The sequence below is a fragment of the Homo sapiens genome, chromosome 7, assembly GCF_000001405.40.
Source record: "Homo sapiens chromosome 7, GRCh38.p14 Primary Assembly".
In the NCBI taxonomy this organism is placed as follows: Eukaryota; Metazoa; Chordata; class Mammalia; order Primates; family Hominidae; genus Homo; species Homo sapiens.
The window spans coordinates 18,614,898-18,635,148 of record NC_000007.14 but is presented as its reverse complement, the minus strand read 5'-3'; the positions used below and the strand labels follow the sequence as shown (position 1 = coordinate 18,635,148).

The 20,251-nt window shown below is 35.9% G+C and overlaps 1 protein-coding gene across 39 annotated transcripts in view; it reads right to left on the bottom strand.

The window, feature by feature from the left end:
- HDAC9 (histone deacetylase 9) overlaps nt 1–20,251 on the bottom strand; it is a 915,592-nt gene that overhangs the window by 367,268 nt on the left and 528,073 nt on the right. For 20 of the 39 annotated variants that reach the window (NM_001321869.2, NM_001321870.2, NM_001321896.2 and 17 more), the window contains 2 exons: nt 5,668–5,799; nt 407–522 (listed from right to left, as the gene is read on the bottom strand). In NM_001321869.2, coding sequence (NP_001308798.1) covers nt 407–522; nt 5,668–5,799 — 248 coding nt within the window. The remainder of the gene's footprint in view (nt 1–406; nt 523–5,667; nt 5,800–20,251) is intronic. The other 19 variants (NM_001321868.2, NM_001204144.3, NM_001321872.2 and 16 more) reach the window with 1 other exon arrangement.

The window sequence follows — 20,251 nt, the reverse complement described above, 5'->3', positions numbered from 1 at the left end:
AGTAAGTTACATAATTGTCAGGCAGTGTGCACGGAGGATCACTAAGAATGTTTGACTGAGGATTACATTTCAAGCCCAGATTGCCTTCCAAACATCTTTGGTTGTCTGATTTATAAATAAGATCAATTTTACTGAATTCCATAAATAAGAAAAAATCTGTAAGAAAAAAATTGATATTTATTTATGTCAGCTAATAAATATCAGTTCATTTCTTATAGGTTTATAATATTTACATTAGTTAGTAAATATCAATTTTTTTCAATTGGTTTACAATATGTGGAACTGAGTAAACTTCAATTCATAAATATCATTTGGATATTGAAGGTCAACTCAGAAATATCACTTTGTATTAGGTAGCTAATCAGAAATTCAGTTTTTAAAAGAAACAAAATAATAAGGGTCTTACCTCGGCATGAGGGGTAGGGGGCAAAACCGAAGTCTCATTTTCAGTAACACTTCCAGTTGGCCCATTGTTTGGTGAACTGGGACCAGAGCCTGGAGAACTGCTACTGACTGAGGATTCTGAAAAATATTGTGAAGTACAAATGTGTTCATGAGGAACATACATAGATGAACTTTAGTTACTGTAACATGTAACATTGGGCATGTTATTTTCCCCCTATGTAAATGCAAGCACTATTTCACAAAATAGAAAGAACTAAAAATTTCTGCAGTAACTCTGAATTTTCATACCACTTATTCCTCCTTTGTTTTCATGGCAAAACATACTAAATAGTGTTCAACAGTTTCTAGAGAAGTAAAGATATCCAGTTAGAGAGGGTCACAGGAGCTTTGAATGAGAAAAAAAAAAAAAACTGAAGAAAGGAATCTTTTCTTACTTGCTCTTATGCTATTACAGAAAATAACAGTAATGAAGACAATGAACTTGTGCACATCAAAAGACAAGTCGTTAACCCATGAGGTTCAGACCCATTCCATTAGGTCTGAAAAAAATTGTTCAAATGCTGTGCTGTAAATTGTTTTTTATTTAATATACTAAGGCTATACCTTATTATTGCATATACTAGTTCAAGTTATATGAAGAAAATACAATAGAATGTAAAATCTCAACATTGCACTGATGACCTTGTACAAGACCATCTGACTTTAACTCTACTCAACTTATTTTCCAGAAAATGAGAAGTTGCCTAAATTTAACATGTAGATTTGTAAATACCAATATAACAAGAAATTCCTTTTAGCAAAAGTCAGGCAACAACAAGACAGATTCTTTATTTAACCCATCCTTTCCTCTTCAGATATGAAATTCACATGTACCTCAACTTATGCAGAAACTAATGCATTTATTAAAACATTTAATCAAAAATATAAATTTCCATTTCCTAGAAATATAGCTAGAGAAGTCATCTTATCAAGCTTTGGCAAATTATTTATTCAGCTCTAATTAATTCCCTACCACCTTCTACACTTCACTCATTTCAAAATCTTCCTAGCTGCCTCATCATTACACCTTGTCAACCCAACTCTGCACAAATGATCTTGCCTCATGCTTTTCAGAGACAGGATTTTTGATATGATTTCCACCAGCATCTTTTCTTTCTACTCATGATTATGTTATCTACATTCTCTTTTCCCATTTCAAATATAAGGCATTTCTCTTCCTCTCTAACGCTCACACATTTAGTCTTACCCATGATCCCATCCCCTTAAAAAAATCCTAAAAGGATTAGTTAGGTGGAATCTTCAGGCCCTCCTCCTACACTGGAATTGCCCCTCTAGTCTGACAGCATGCTAGTAATTCTTGAGAAATGGTGTGCTCTCACAATGTCCACTCACTTCTTCAAGCCTTGGCAATATAGCTTACCCACTATTAACTGCAACTGTTCTCTCAAATGCCACCACACTTGAAGGCCTCAGAGAAAACATTCCTTTCCACATCCTTTCTACAGTGGCATTCTCTACATCCATGTTTGTCTTCCCATCTCTTTGACTTTTCTTCCTCCTACCAATTCCTAAATTCAGACATTCACCTAAGTTTGTGACTTTATCCCTTTTCTATTTCCCTTGTCAAAATCACTCAGTATCATGACTTCATATGTCATTTTGGGGCAGAATTATCTCAGGAAAGTCACATTTCTTGCCTTTAACTCATAAATTCCAGCCCAAATTCCTCTGAAAGCTGGACCTTCCAAGCTCCCCTACATATGTGTAAAACTCAATGTATGTATTTTAATATTAACTGTTTCCTGCATATCTCTATTTTTTCATCACCCTAGAGTCATCCTCACTCTCTCTTTACTGCAAATCTAATTAGTTACTAGGCCCTTTTAATGTGATCTTTACACTATCTCTCCATCTATGTCTGACTACAATCATTTCAGTTTAAGGCCTTGTTATTCTGTCAAGAACTATAGCAAAAGTCTGCTCATATTTCTGAGTCACTACAGTAGTCTCTCAAACCTTTCTTTCAAACTCTTGCAAAAGGATCAGACAGAGATAACTCACACCATGTCCCTCTGCTCCAAAATAGAGCCTAATATTATTTCCCACCATTGCCCTTTCTGTACTCTACACTCAGTCAAATTAAATCACCTATTCTCCTTTCATGCCAAATACTTTTCCAGTTCATGCTTTTGTATCCTCCTTTCTTTCCATTTCATTGCAGGCCGAATCCCACCTATAAGGTCCAAGCCTGGCTCATATAACGTATGTCCCTCAGAGAAAGGGAACACCCAGTTTCCAAGCAATATTTTCTTACCCTCTCTCAGAACACCTATAACTCTCAACTTGTATTATAATTAAATCTCTACTCAGAAATGCAGTACCACTGGAAAGAATGTGAGGTTAATGTAAGAATTCTAATCCTGCCACTTATTTACTGTGGGATTTGAGCAAATTATTAGTATAATAAAATACTTAAACACATTTTGCTCACTGCCTTTCTGTCTATATATCTGGTTTATATTTTGATTAATTTTTTTTAATCATCACCTCTGGTTTTACTTTAACAAAGGAAATGTAGAATTTAAAAATTCTTACAGGAGCTTCTTTTTCCCAACTCCTAACTCTCGTCTTTACAATATGACTGATTTCTCATTAATGTCTCATTTCCATATCATTTCCATTTCCATATTTTTTAAAAACTACTTTCTTAAACATTCTGTCTTACCAATTTTAAATTATAATATTTATATTATTTTATGATATTAAGACTGAAGTATTTCCTTATGTAGAAATCACTGTGATAAGCACTAGAATTCAGGGCAACAACTACTGTACCAGAGGATTCTATGACATGACACTGGATGGGATCTGGGAGAAGATAGCAACTGATTTTCTGAGATCTCTGATCTCAGTGTATGATATTGGAACTGGAGCTTGAAGAAGGGTAGCCAATGAAATAAGGATGTTGGAGTAGGGAGAATGGCAGAGAAGGCATTGCAGGCACAGGGGGAGTCAATTTTAACATTTGAAAAGAACAGGACTTTTTGTAGGGGGCAGAAAATACTTGAATTTGAAAAAAAAAGATGGCAAGTGGGTTCCCATGTCAATGAGTGGAATGAGTTTGAAAAGAGCTTACACTTTAATCTATGAAATGGGGAAGAGAGAAAAGACATAGAGGTAAGAGGATAACAGCAAAAGCAACTGAACTGCTCTGATGTTATGATAGTCTCTGACTAGATACTAAAAATATTTAGTATTAAGATCCAAACAAATCTCATCCAAACTAGATGAAAGTTGGCAGAGCAATGGGAAGGAGTACAGGTGAAGACAGCTGTGTGTCAGTAGTCCGGAGCCTCCAAAGACATTTCGAGTAAGTGCGGTATACCAGTTAAAAATATCTACCAAAGCATCCGTAAGTCCACTCACCAGAAATGTCTTTCTAATAAATGTACAAGTCTCTCTTCCAATACATATTGTTTCCTGAGGTGAAAGGGCGAGTGCTTATCTCACGAAATTAAGAAGAGAAATATATTTTAAATTTAAGGAAATTCGAGTAAAACTCTGGTAAATCATAATCCTTATAAATAAGAACCAATCATTACTGAGATAGGTATTGAGCTAAATGCCACTGCAATTTGGTACGGAAGAAAAAGTGACTGTGTAGAAAAAGCTATGATCAAGAAAACAGACTACAGGAACACAGAAAAGCACATTGGGATAAATAAATATGACTTCAGACATTAAGACTATGAAGCAAAATAAAATAGCATTATATTCAGTTTTGTCTTTTCTAGAAGTTTTGCTGTTAGAAGGGGCTTACTTTCTGCAGTTAGAAAAACCACCTATCTACATTTACATTAGACACCTGATAGGTTTATAATTCTTCACATTCATTAAAACAAATTCACTCCTCAACTGCCCACCCCCATCAAAGACCTCTATTAGAAAAACCTAAGATTTTTATTTACTTACATACAATAGTATTTCCTGGGAAAAAAGTCTGTAACTCCAAACTTAGAATTCAATTCGTCTAAATTAGTGATTATATTTAATGTTGGATAATACATATAAACTCTAGTAAAATAATTGTATTTATTATTCAGATTTAATATTTCTTATCCCAAGGAAATACTTTCCATTGAAATCACTAACACTTTTCTTCAGATAAGCATATAAAGTTGTCCAGATTGAATAGGAGACTAAATATTATTTTCCAAAAATTATCGGCCAAACTTTCAGGTTGCATTAGAACCTAAATACACGTTTCTACCACCACTTCCACAGTCTTCCTCTATATTGCCTTCCTGTAGACACTGTCATGGCCAAAAGAGTTATACAGAAAATAAAGAATTTTTTTAAAACTTACTAAAAATAAGATCTGATCTTGGAGAACTAATACCAACTGCCCACATTGGTATAAGCACAGTTTTCCTTGAGAATGGGAAAAAAAAGGGGTTGCAGATTACCACTTCTTTCTTCATGCAACCAAAGGAAACAACTAGATACAGTACCTGACTCTAAGTAGGTACTCAAAAAACAGTAGTAAGTAGAAGTATTTTGGCTAGTATTTTTGGTTCTTACAGCCTTAGGTCTTTCATTTCAAACCAGGTACAACTGGAACTAGGGGTGTTGTAAGACCTCAGGTTGAATTTCCTAACCCCTCTACTAAAACAGGCAGCTAAAAAAATAACTCTTCCATTTGAGACCCATGAAAATGACAGTTTCTTCCCCTTCATAAAAAGCAATATATCCCCCTCCTGCCATAAGTCCCACTTCACTAGTAAACACATAAAGTCATTTATGAGTTCTGTAAATTTGTTGAAAAGTCAAGGTTTTGCTGTTCCATGTAGTTTAATTTTCCCAGATGTATTTTGTACATTCATGTCTGAGTACAGGGGAAAGTGTTCTTCTTGGACCTCCCTCTGCTCATTTCTGATCAAATTTCATTAAAAATTATATTCTCCTGGTTGGCATTCCCAAAATGGACTGCCTGTTCCTGAAAAGAATAAGGTGAGCTTTGGTGTTCCCTAGTTATGCCTTGATTGACACATACTTCTGTTTTTTCATTCATTTCCTGTTTAACACAGTTGGTGAATGCATAGCAAGGTTTATTGAACTACTTGTGAGTTTTCAATATAATTTCCTTTCAAGAAATATTTCTTCTCAAAATAACTTTTAATATGCAGCAGGTATATTTATTCTAAACTATTTTTTTTTCATTCCTACTCCCAGCATTCATAGGTCTGCCCAGTCCTCAATTACCTGTCACCTCAAACATTCGCTTCTTGAATGAAGTGACAACATTTCCATCCTTCCGCCTGAGTAAGGGGCTGCTTCTCCTCTCTGCCACTTTCTGTTTTAACCTGGACCGCACCTTCAAGTTGGGCTCAGAGGCTGGGGATTGAGACAAAAAAAAAAAAATAGATAAAAATTAAAAAAATAGAGAGCCAATTGCTCATGTGTTAAAAAAAAAAAAAGTCTCACCCTTTTCTTGGTCCATTCTCATTCTCAAATGAAAAACCCAAGCACATAAATGAGGCATTGACTCTACATTAATGAAACAGGCAAATATTGCAATTATTTTTATGAAATCTGTGAAACTTTTTTCAACTTCTCTAAATATGAAAGTAAAAAGTAAACAAAAATATAAGTTTTCTACTTATTTTATCTAGCAGATTTGGGATTGTTAATGGGAAGTTTAATTACTAATTGTGTTTGGGTCACAGTAAGATTTATTATACTTCATTGTCAGGCCTCTTAATTCTCTCAAGGGTGAAACTTAATAACCACTAAAAGAGTAACTGAATGTGATTTTAGAGACTCTGACCTGGCTTGTGGTAATAAGAAGACACCTCTGCAGCATATAATTTATGTCTAATTCTGACTCCTGGAATATTTCTTTGTCAGTAGTTTCTAATCTAAAACCTTGGGGAAACATACTCAGTGTAATGACACCAAACCAACTAGAATCAATGCAAATAAGACATTCTATACATGCAGTATACTATCAGCTGGAAAGAAAAGGTGGCTAAGTCTTCGAATTGAAGGTTCTGAGTTAGGTTATATATTCCATAATACAAATGCACATTATTCACATGTATGTTACCATTTATTTCATATTCTAAACAGTGAAGCTTATTACAGAGCTTCACTATTTTTAAAATAATACCACTTATTTCAAAATAATTATACTTTAGAAGAATGGAAACATTGGATTGCATCTCTGTGCAGCAGAAGTGGATGGTGGTGATGGTGGTGGTAATGATCATCATGAAAAGGATATTTCTCATAACAATTAACATTTATATAGTCTTTTTTATGTTCCAGTACTATTCTAAATGTTTTATCAATATCAACTTGTTTAACCATAAAAACATCTGGAAAGCCTATGCCTATTTATAATTTGATTAGATCAATGAGGAAACCAAAACAGACAGACAGGGTAAGTATCTTGCCCAAGGTTACAGAGGTAAAAGGAGATGAAGCCAGGCTCTGTACCCAGGTAGTCTGGCATAAGTCTATTCTAAATACTGAAAATGTTGCTCTTCCAGCTTTCCTTATGTATTATCATCATAAAAATTATAAAATAGTTTTTCCCAAAGCACCACTAATCATCTAGAGCAGACACAATGTTATAATGTAGCCAGATTTTATCAGTGAAAATATTTTTGAGGGAATTTATATTTTTGACAGACCACAAGGGATATCAAAGGTAGAACTTACAATTCTTCTCCACTTTTTTTGTTGTTTTAGTCTTCAAATATCTATACTTTTTGCTTTAAGCTTCGATGGAGAACTCTTGCATTATATGTTTTCTTGGAATTGGCTTGGTGAAATAGGAACTTAAAAATGAAGTTCAGATACAAAAAATAAAGCTACTTTTTTTGTATTGTAAACCTGATTTTATGCTTGAAAATACTGAAAAGATAAAAAAACCAAAAGCCCGAAAATGCTGTAAAAGTAGGGTGTCAAAAGGTGGGGCAGAGATCAGGGGTGAGCACAAGCTCAAAGTGATAGAGATCTGAAATGTATCACTTGCCGGGACTCCCACATGAAGGCAAACAAACCAACCAATTTGGGAAAGGATTAGGATTCTTGCCAGATCTTCCAGTAGTGGCAACACACTTCACCTTAGTGTAGGAATCTATCTCAGTTTCTAACCCCCAACTTACCCAGGAATAAAGTGAGATACTGGGACTGTATTAATGTACTTAGATATGTTTTCATGTACACATGTATTTTTAAATTACTTCAAAAATATTGATCTTGCCTCCAAAAAGTTATAGATAATAAATATATTTATCTAAAACCTAGAAAGGAAAAATAAAGAACCATGAATCCCTAGGTGCTAACTACATTGGTATCCTCTGTAGCCTTGCTAATAACCATAGGAAATCATAGATTCTCAGAACTTAGATGGAGATATGATTTTATAATGCAACCTAATGGATTAAATGCTGCAAACTGGCAGTCCATAGGGAGTAAATCAATTGATCACTTCAAAAGGCAGTGGGTGGACTAGAAAAGACCATGCATTTTCATTGAGGGATGTGAATTCAGTCTGCATGGGACAACTTTCCTGTTATGAAATTTGCAGTGAGATTATAGTGCTTTCTAAGCCTGATTCTTCATTTGTGAAACATAGCTTAAAGCCTTTCCAATTAGATACCTGAGAATAACTGTGAAGATCTGGGTGAATGTAGAAGGGAAGGGTTTATGAAACATATTATTGGTACTATTTCTGAAGGCTAGTTATACAGCTAAGAGGGGCTGATCCAGAACTGGGCCCCAAATCTCCTTATTCTCAGTCTTGTCCTCCTCCCTCTCCTAATATATTGCATCAGCTGGGGCTGAGTGTCTGCAATCAAGATAAAAATGTGCTGACAGATTGGAAAAATAGCATATGCCATTTAAACATTCTAGATGAAACCTAGAATTTTCCAAGATTTTCAGAAAGAAATGATTTTTAAGGTCAGCAGATAGCTTTCACTCCTGTTTGTCTACTTGAGAATCAGCCAGATATAGAGCTCTCAGATTTCTTTCAATGGTCAACATAAAAAAGCAAACACCAGAAGAGGAATGAGAACTGGGTTTTAGTCTTGTATCTACCACCTACTAAAATCAGTAACCTTGAATAATTCACAGTCTTGCTGAACATCAGTTCATTCACACAGACCAACTAAGATGATACCTTCATTGTGCCTGGAGTCAAATAGATGCCTGGATGAATTACTTTATATCATTAAACCTCGATTTCTCATGTTAAAATGGGGATGTTGGAGGGATTTTCTTCATTTTCCCCCCAACAGATTCAATTGTCCTTCCTTCTCTAAGCCCATGGGGGCTGAATCCTGGAGCTGCAACACTCTAGTTCTTTGCTGGTTGGATTTCACTTGGGCTTAATCTACTGGCAGGACAGGCTGGTGGCCAAAGAATTAAGGAGGAGGGAGAGGCCAGGCTGTCCTACACTCTCCCTGTCACAGTGCTGCATAACTGGCCATGGCTATGTCTCTTCCTGACTTCATCTCCCTCTGGAAGCCACTATTCCAGGGCTCCAGCTCTCCAGCACTCCAGGAAAAATTTCCTCCCCTCTCTTCTTTGTGGGAATGACCTCCCACTATTGCTATTTTCTGGGTACCCCCACTTCCCTAAGCAGTTCATTTAACCTTACTAACTTCCTTGTTAAGTAGTCCCTTCATAAAAGTCTATGACCCACGCTGCAAAGATCTGTTCCCTGCCAGGATCCTGATTAATATAGTCCTACATATCTTTTTTTTTTTTTTTTTTTTTTTTTTTTGAGATGGAGTCTCGCTCTGTTGCCCAGGCTGGAGTGTAGTGGTACGATCTTGGCTCACTGCTGCAACCTCCGCCTCCTGGGTTCCAGAGATTCTCCTGCCTCAGCCTCCCAGGTAGCTGAGACTACAGGCATGTGCCACCATGCCTGGCTAATTTTGTATTCTTAGTAAAGACAGGGTTTCACCATGTTGGCCAGGATGGTCTCGAACTCCTGACCTCAGGTGATCCACTCGCCTCGGCCTCCCAAAGTGCTGGGATTACAGGTGTGAGCCACTGCACCCAGCCAGTCCCACATATCTTGCAGCTACTATAGGATCAAATGAAATAGTGACTAGTAGAGAATAGGCCAGTGGTTCACAACCAGGGAAGATTTCTCTTCCAGGGGACATTTGGCAATATCTGGACACATTTTTGGTCATCAGTATGGAGAGCTGCTACAGGCATCTGGTATGGGTACAGGCCAGGGGTACTGCCAAACATCCTACAAAGCACAGGACAGCATCCCATGACAAAGTATTATCTTTACCCAAATGTTAATAGTGCGAAGTATGAGAAACCCTGGGACAGGCAATCAGTCAATGGCAGCTGTTAATAATTGTACTGCTCTGGGATGACTAAAGAAAATAATATCTGTCAGAGATTCCCAAAGAAGCTGGAGAAGGGTAAGGGAAGAAAAGAAAAGAGAGATTATTAGAAATTGAGAGTACTCTATGTAGCTTGTATATATTAAATGTTTCAATAAATTTTATACTTGGAAGTTGATTTTAAAATGTTTCCAATACCACTAATATTTCTAAAAATAATAACACTAGGCAACTTTTATCATTAGTTGGTGGAGTTATGCAAAAAGGCATAATTCTCAGTTTTAGAAAGGATAACATTTGAGGCATTGTGATGATCTGAGGACATAAGGTTTTGAAAATAAGGAATCTCTGACATACTGTAAAGCACAACATAGATTTATGTTAACAAAATATACAGTATACAACTTCTCTAAAGAAAGGCCCCTACTTAATGTTTCTAGCAAAACCTTCTGCCTGTATTTCAGGTTTTGGGTCATGAGAGATATTAAAATCTCAGTAGTGAGGGTGAGAGATGAGATGATAGATAACTATCATTTAGTCCTGGCAATGCTCTATAAAACTCACTCCTAACATTTCAGAAGCCCACACACAGAAGCTCAGCATGATATATACCCAAGCAGAAGAATTAATGGCCTAGTGTGCTGACTCCGTTTGCAGTTAGAGTTAATTCTATTTTTAATGCTCTGGTCTCCCCAAAGGCTGAAGATTTCCATGCCAGTGACTTACTAATGGGATGCAAATCCTCAGAGCCCAGAAAAAGATCACTAGCTGGGGAGAGGTTCTGCTTGTATATGAATGTATTTCATGCCTAGTTACACTAATTACCTTTCCATTTTTACCCCACACCCATCATTCTCTACATCTCAATTAATCATAGAAACAGAAGGCAAGCTTTTTAGTGTGTGTGCTCATCTGAATACATTTGCCTGCTGAGATGAAAACTTTGTATAAAAATTGGCTATCATTATTTAAGTGAAAACAATCAATAGTAAAACAGAACAGACCCAATACCTTTTTCTCTTCTCACCTAAAAGAAAATATCCTCAATAAAAGGAAACAGAAAATATCTGAAGAATGCCTCATGAACTAAAGGTATTTCAAATCTTCATTCTCATACTAGTCTCCATGGTACACAATAAACTTAGGGTGGCAGGTATGAGAATAAAACATGGGAGAGGAATAGTAAACCTAGGTGGCGGAAGCAAAGGTTAAAAAATTAGGATTCCAAGGTACAGTGAGTGACACTGCCCAGACTTGTCATTTTACTAAGAGATTGATATGTGTGACTGTGTACATAATTGCGGGGCGTGATTTTTGTATACACATGCATGCAGACAGGCACACAAACTATCTTGTGTAGAAGCACACAGGACTCTGACACAAATAGACCAGACCTCTCATCCCAATGCTTTTTTTACCCCCCCTGCAATGGAGTCTTGCTCTGTCGCCCATGCTGGAATGCAGTGCCGTGATCTTGGCTCACTGTAACCTCCCCCTCCTGGGTTCAAGCAATTCTGCCTCAGCCTCCCAAGTAGCTGGGATTATAGGGGCGTGCCACCACACCTGGCTAATTTTTGTATTTTTAGTGGAGACAGGGTTTCACCATGTTGGCAAGGGTGGTCTGGAGCTCCTGACCTTGTAATCCGCCCGCCTTGGCCTGCCAAAGTGTTGGGATTACAAGCGTGAGCCACTGCACCCAGCCACCAATGCTAACTCTTTGATGTACTAACTGTAACCCCAAATGAGTGATTTCATCTCTGTGAATCATTTTATCATCTACAAAAGAATGGTAACAATGCCTACCACACATCCTGGTTCTTGGCTCACCTGGTTGTCTATCATAAAAAAAAAATTGTTCATTACATAGATGTTGAATGAATGTTTCATGAAGTGCAGATGTAAGATGAAGTTATGTTAAAATTAAACAAAATAAAAAATAAGTAGAGAGAGAGATGGCTGCAATTGGTACACTCCTTTGCCTAGTGTAATGTTTGAAAACACCATAACCATAACAATAGCCCTTTTCTGAACTTTGACTCAGTGTACTTAAAATAACTTTTGGTTAATAACTGACTTCACATATTTTTCTCACTTTCTAATTTGCCTGCTTATAAATTGTATTCTGTTTAGTTCTAAGTCTTAACTAGATCATCATCCACTTAAGAAGGACCACCTACTATGTGTATTTTGCCTCTGCTCACTTTTTTTTTTTTTTTTCCAGAGACCGGGTCTCACTCTGTCACCCAGGCTGGAGTGCAGTGGGATGATCTCAGCTCACTACAGCCTCAACTTCCTGGGCTCAAGAGATCCTCCTACCTCAGCCTCCTGGGTAGCTGGGACCATAGGCACATGCCACCAAACCCAGCTAATTTTTGTATTTTTTATACAGATGGGGTTTTGCCACATTGTCCAAGCTGGTCTCAAATTCCTGGGCTCAAGCGTTCTGCTTGCCTTGGCCTCCCAAAGTGCTGGGATTACAGATGTGAGCCACTGTACCCGGCCTCTGTTCACTCTTAATCCTAGGTTGTGAATATTCTTTACAACAATAATTTAGATTAAAAAATTTCAATACCACATTGTGTGGTATGTAGAAGTTCTTCATTCTTATTGAAAATTATCATAAGGAAAAAATGGAAAATTTTCCATTGTGTTAATATTATATAAATATTTTAACATATTTCATATATTAAGATGATTAATTATTAACCAAGATTGAGTACTAGATTAATAAATGTTTCTTTAGGCCGGGCACGGTGGCTCACACCCGTAATCCCAGCACTCTGGGAGGCCAAGGCGGGCAGATCATGAAGTCAGGAATTTGAGACCAGCCTGTCCAACATGGTGAAAACCCATCTCTATTAAAAATACAAAAAATTAGCCGGGTGTGGTGGCACGTCCCTGTAATCCCAGCTACTTGGGAGCTGAGGCAGCAGAATTGCTTGAACCTGGGAGGCAGATGTTGCAGTGAGTCGAGATCATGCCATTGCACTCCAGCCTGGGTGACAGGGCGAGACTCCCTCTCTAAATAAATAAATACATACATACATGTTTTTAAAATAATGAATATTTGGGATATACAATGATTCCACCTGTAGTGAACATTTAGCTCTGTAATCATAGGTGAAGGTCAAGTCTTCACCACCAGCTTCAGATCCCTTTCTGGCATTGTCTATTCTTCCCTGCAGTACTGGATATCTGTCAACTTCTCCACACAGTTTCTCCCTCCCCTGGGTTTCTCCTGCTATCTCCTCCTCTCAGGGATCCCTTAGGAGCTGCCATATTTAAATGTTTTGTTACTTGGAACCAAATACTTATTATAATCTATCACCTATTCATTCACTCTCTGTTCTTTCTGAAGGTTAGATTTCCTGGCACAGTTCCTGCCCAAATCTCTCCTATAACCCAGGCTGGCATTGTAGAAATCTAGAAACTGTTCAAATCAGTAATCACTACAGTTATGAAAGACACTTTGGGAACACAGTAGATCCTCCAGTCTAGTTAATCAAAATACACAGGTTACTCTAATTAAAAGTTTCATAATTATACAAAAGGTACATATTTTCAAAAGTACTACTTGGCATACTACAATAAATAATACAATGTATGCCTCTTCTGGCTGGGATAAAATGAACCTTTAATGTTATGAATTAGATTTTATATATTTTGACACTAAGGAGCAAAATTTCTAATGTAACTATTTCTAATTATAACCACTTAACAGTATGTAATTCATATATAAAGTTTTCAAAAAATAATTTTGGGGGAATTTCTAGGCACATGTATGGTAATACATGAATGCAATTTCCTAAAGACATTATAATACTATTTGTTTTTGAGAAATACTACTGCATCTATCCATTCTCTTATTGCAAATATACCAATTTTGTCTACTTGTTAAGATTACCATTTTTCAAAATCCATATTTGTAAATGTTAATCAATTTACAATATGATCTTTTGAAAAGTGCTAATTTTATAATAAATTTTATTGCTTGCTTCCGATTATGTAAGTCATACATATTTGAGATTTTTAAGAATGGGAAAATTTGTGTATACTCTAAAATGTTCCCTTTGTGTTATGTAGGTAAAATTATTTGAAAATGAGAATCATTATATTTATGATTATATCTTATTTGTTCATTTAATAATATATTATGGGTCTTTTCCCAGGTAATTACGTATTCCTTAAAATTATTGCATTTATTATGTTTTTCACTTAAAAATCTATTATGTTTTTCCCCAAGCAATTATATATTCTTTTAAAAATACATTATGAGGATATACTATATATTATATATCCACACTTACATGTGAATACACAATATTTCACTTAAGAATAAGACAATGTTGGACACTTGGGTGTACTACACATTGTTTTGCTTCGAAAGACAGCACTGTTATGTACATCATTGTGTGAGTTTTCTAGGAAGTTGTATTTCCTTCTATCAATGTAAATAGAAATTTAATTCTTAACGTTTATCACAGATGGAAACAACAATGATAACCTCTTTACATATCGGGAAAAAAAATGGTCATACATGGGAAAGAGAACTACCAAGTCATTGGAAGCATCGCAGAGTAGGATGGGAAGACAATATCGGGGCCGTAAGTAACAGGAGCATGGTCTAGAAGGGGAAAGGTGGGCATTTTTCCTTAGCATCTAAAGCTCATGACAGTGCACTCAGTTCCCTCTAAGAGCAGCACTTTTCCTCCTCCTCACCAATGTGCCTCAAGAGTGCCTGGCACTCGGCTGGCTCAGGTGAAACTCAGTAAAAGTTTACGGAGTGAATGAATGAATGTACAAATTTGCTATTTTTTCCTGTTTGTTCTAGTATTAAAAAAAAAAAAAAAGTACCACTCAGTAGTAACACTGGTTTTTAGTACTACTTTTAGTACTACTCATTACTGTTTTTTTAATACTAGGACAAACAGGAAAAAATAACTTCCTAAAATTTTTATGACATTTTAACAAATTATCATTTTTAACATAAAAATACTTTAATCAGTGTGATTCAGTTTAAAAATAAATTTTAATAGTAAGTTATAAAATTCTAATTATTTTATAGTTAAAATTAAAACCTACTATTTAATTAGATCTATTGTTTAATTACATTCGATTAACAGCTATTGAATAATAATATTGAGAAACAAGGTTGCAAGTTTCATGCAGACTGGAAGCATGTGTAGCCATATTTTCATTGTTCAGGTACCTATACAGTGCCAACTACATGGAATAAATCCTTTAGCTATTTATTCAAACAAGGAATCAAGGAATGGGAAAAAGTGCATGTTAAGTGCTGAGGCAACTCCCCCAGAGAAAAGACAGAGAGTCTTTTTCTCCTAGGTGCTCATGGTCTCAAGAATGAATAATATACTAACTGGGATCAGTGCCACGTGATAGGTATAAGCAGAGTGTTGTGGCTGAAAGGCAGACATTCATTTGCTTTGAAAGAGGATCCTCCAGGGCTTAGTGAGATGTTGACAGGTAAAGGTGGGAGAAGTGCAGTTCTATGCAGAGGAAATAACCACGTCCAAGGGCACAGAGCCCACACATTCAAAGAATGGAGATTAAGTATGCTGGTGAGGGAAGGAATACTAAATAAAAAATAAAACTTCAAAGATAAATATCAAACACATTTTAGTTAATCTATGAGATACTTATAGAGGTTATGCAACATGTATCTTCAAATTCCCTCTCTCTTCTGGCTCCTTCTCAGAATGTAGACAGGCTCAAATATTTCCCATTCAAATAAAAATAAGCCCCCATAGACACAGATCTTATGAGCTACTTCCTGTGATTGCACTTTCATAGTCAAGTTAAAGAAATAGCCTATACTTGCCACTACCACTTCCTAACCTCAAAACACTGCAATATGGCTCCAGCCCTTGATGCTTAGCAGAAATATAATGTAATCATTGATCTTGTGTCTATTTCCAGTACTTAGCAAGAACATAGGCTCGATGGGTCTCCATAAACAGTTGCTGAATGAATAATACATGCCTGTATACATCCAAGCATGAAGGAAACTTACATTAAAAGGCTGAGTCTCAAATATTGTTGAGAAGAGAACTAGATGAACCTCAACTACCCTAATTTCTAAGAATTTCTTGATGCTGAATGTCATGGCAAGAGGTCTCATAGATCAGATGTGGAATGCAGAAGGAATTTCTCTTTTCTGGCAAGCATCACAAATACTACATTTTGGAGTCAAGGAAATCCATATCTCATACAGGCCAGAATGCCTTCATATGCTAACTCCTTTATATGCTTTAATTTTTCAAATATATTTTATTTACCTAAGACAAATTTAAAAATCTATCTAGCATCATTTTGAATTATCATTTCAATAAATCGAACTAGATTATAAACATGTTTCAGTCTTCAATCCAGTTTCTAAAATAATTTTCTTTTCTACCTGAATCCCAAAGTTTTATTATAAAGTATACTTCTGAATTGGTATTTCACAAATAACATGCTACTTTGGGGGAAATCTGAATTCATACATGTGTTTATGTATTTTTTCTTGTAAACAAGTCCTGTTCACTCTAAAATTCTGTGTAATTATTCTGCTATGAATCTTTCTGTAACAAACGAATTCCTACATATATATATATATATATATATATATATATATATACAAAATTCTGTACTAGATATATCTTTTATATACCATTCAAATAGAAATGGCATGAAAAGTAATTTTATTGTGGATATATAATGTTTTAATGTCCCTCCTACTCAGACAGTTCATAAGAGCTACATGTGAACTGACTGCGTGAGAGAGTGGGGCCATTTTAGTAGGTGAGATCTATTTAGGGTGCATCCCAGTGCTTGATAGGGACACACATGGAGACAGCATGGAATTACTCCCAGAAAACGTTATAGGTCAGGATTTCATGGTCCAGAAAGGCAATACCTATCCCCTGATAATATCCTGGGTATCATCATAAACCTAAACTTTATTGTACTTATTGGTTCTCTCAGCATGAACCTCATCTTGTTACCCTCCTAAGAGTCTGGAGTTGTTTTCCAGTCTTGACTCTACCACCATAACATCTGAGTAAAATATTTAATGTCGCTGTGCTTCAATTTTCTTGCCTGCAAATGTGGACAATAACAGCCATTCCTGACCTTAAAGAGTTCAGAAGTAATAAATGGAATACATTGACTACAATAAGTATAGTAAATCACTGTCTAATTTGAAATGCCATACAATTATCTTCTTCAAATATATTACTTTAGGTTTTTGTCTCTCTGATGTTTATCTGAAAATTTTTAGCCAATTCCCATTAAATTGCAAAATCATCCTCTAGCAAGTCATTTCATTCCACAAGAATTAAAATAAAATAATATTTAAAAGACTATAACATCAACTTGCTAACATGAAAAATTTTGTTTCCTTGTTTTCTTCTGATTTACCCAGTTACAGTCATCCGGAAGCAGTTAGTCTCCTACCTCCAAAATGTTATTGCAAATTAAATTCTTAAAAATTATTTAGCAAAACAACTTCTAGAATTTTAAATACCCAAATAAATGTGTATTAGTTCCTATTTTAGTGCATATATTCATTTACTCATATAACAGAAATTTATTCAGTGCCAATTATGAGCTCTCTGAAGATGCTGGGGATACAATAATAAATAGGCTAAAGATACTGTCCTCAAGGATTCCTCAACTGAGTAGAATGTAATTTTAATATAGAGATATATGCACAGAGATATGTCAGGGCATATTTGGGCATATACATTTGGCATAAAATATGAAGTGACTATCTGGGGTGGCCTGGTGGGTAGGAAGGTACCAGGTAAAGCTTAACAGAGAGGAAGTATATATATCATCTGAGCATTTAAAGATGAGTATGAACTATTGAAGAGGGCACTTTAAGAGCAAGGAGCATCTGGAAAACCAGATGAGAATGGCTTGTGTGAATGGGAAACAGAAAGATTTGTTCATGGAATTTCAATTTTTTCATTACTGCTAGGGCAAAGGGGTATGAGGTAGTGGACTGGGGAGAGTTGAGAGAGGTCAGAGAGGGAATAAGGAGACAGAGATCATGCTTGCGATGGAGGAGCTTTAGCCTTGTACATAACAGAAGAGGCAGTAAATGGCTCTTTTAGAGGGTAGGAAGACTAGACTTAAACTTTAGAAAGTCAAAGGATTGACTGGACAGGAGTATGATGGAATCAGTGGTTAATAACTGGAATGGAGGCTGAACAAAATAGGGAATGAACTAAAACAGTAGGCACGATAAGAAAGGGGAGATTTAACAGCAAGCAATAACAGAAGTTAGTACTGGATGAAATAAAGGAAAACTAGGCACCTGGTGTGGTTCTGAGATTTCTGGACAGAACATGGTTCCATTTATTTCTTTAGGGAATCACATTGTTCAGCTTAATAAAGAGATGCACGTACATTTTTTAAACGTCTAATTACTGTTACTAATAATTGTTATCTCTCACAATATAATTTTAAGTCTTTAGGTGTAACCTCTAAGTCTATTCAACTCTTCACAGCCCCTCAGATACATTCAGGTACCATGGATCAGCAGCACCACTGACAAGGGGTCAGCAGTGACTTCTGGCCAACAGGAGACTGTCCTCTCCCCAGTTCAAATACCACTTTGCTTCCTGCTCTTGTCCTGTTTCAGAACCTTCCAAGTCACCTGGGCATCTGTTATTATTTATTTTGCTTTGCAAGTTTTGATTTTATAACCTTTAGACAACCTTTATGGTTTTGGAACGTTATTGGTAATTCAATTCTACCTCAATAGCATTTATAACTTTACTGAACTATATCATACATTCTCTTTATAATATATATTTATAAGGAAACACTATTACCTATCTTGAATGGATATAAAAGGCAAAATTTCACCTCTAGATTCATTCAGGCCTCCCCTGAATCCTTTTCTAGACAGATCATCAGTTAAACACCTTCTATTTAGTCAACTTTCTCTGGATGACTGCCCGGATAAAGGCATCGCAAACAAATTTCACATAAAATAGTAAAGGGGTAGTAAGTCAAAGTACACTGCAGAAAACACCATCTTAACGAAAACTCTAAGCACTTGGGGTAGGCAGAATAATGCCCCACTCCAAAGATGTCCATGTTCTATTCCCCAGAATTTGTGACTGTATCACATTAGGTGGTAAAGGTAAACTTACAAATGGATTTAAGGTTGCCAATCAACTGACTTAAAAAAGATTAACTTGGATTATCCAAGGGGTCCTTAAAAAATAAGGAAGAGGGAGGCAGAGAAGTGTCAGTGCAATGCCATTTGAGAAAGGCTTGGTTGGTCCTAGTGGCCACGAGGATGGGACAGCCCACAGCTAGAGCTTGCAGGCAGCCTCCGGAAGCCAGAATAAACAAGGAGAGGGATTCATTCCCAGAGTCCCCAGAAAAGAACACGCCAGGGTGATGCCTTCATTTTAGCCCAGGCAAAGCCATTTTGGACATATGACCTCCAGCAGTGTAAAGTAATAAATATAGATTGGTTTAGGCAACTAAGTTTGCAGTAATTTGTTACAGCATCCACAGGAAAATAATACAGTAGTTGAATGAATTCCAAGATTGGTGCTATTTTGGAAGTCTGAATATTCTGAAATACTGGTTCTGACTAGATCAGATTTTACTGGGCTGTATTTTTAATGCATTATTTTTAGGTAATGTAGTAGGAATTAAAGAGTAGTATTAATGATATATGATCACACAGCAAAAATGCCAGGACAAAAATTTACTTAGCACTTTGCCACATTTAATTTTCTACGGTAAAGGTTTTATTAATGTATTTGTTTACTTGCAGAAGATCCAAAAGAGAAAAAAGACAAAAAGTATAATTTATTTCCTTTAAATATTTCTGTAAAAGTTCCATAGGGTATAAGTATATAAATTAAGGATTATTTAATTTAACCATAAAATACTAAGAATACATTAAATAGCCAAGAAAAGCAATTTCCAAAACTTGAATGGGAGTATTTCCCTTTTTTTGTTGCTGTTGTTTTACACATTCCATTTGAGATATTATTAAGCCAAATACCAACTCTGTGATAGGCCTATTTCTAAGAATAACTTCATTTTTAGTTTAATGTAAGTAAAAGAGGAGGGGGAACAGTTTAAACCTTTTAATTGCTTCAAAATAGTTAATCAAAATATTTTTTAATTTTATATATGACCTTTATAGTATGAGATACAATTCCAGTCTCTTACAACTTAATCAGCTAAATATAAAATGTAACCTTCCATCTGGTAAATCAGTTTAACAGACACAATTGTGCCCCACCATAACTCAATAAGACACTGAGGAAAACCATTGAAATGCTATTTCCTTTTCTTTAGAAGAGAATTATGTACAATTTCAGCATGCTTTGCATTTCTAAAAGTTAAAGTCAACAGGGAGGTATCATTCTCCTTTACTTGAGTTTCCCATGAGAAAATCAACAGCAAGTTTAAAGCTTGTGCTGTTATTC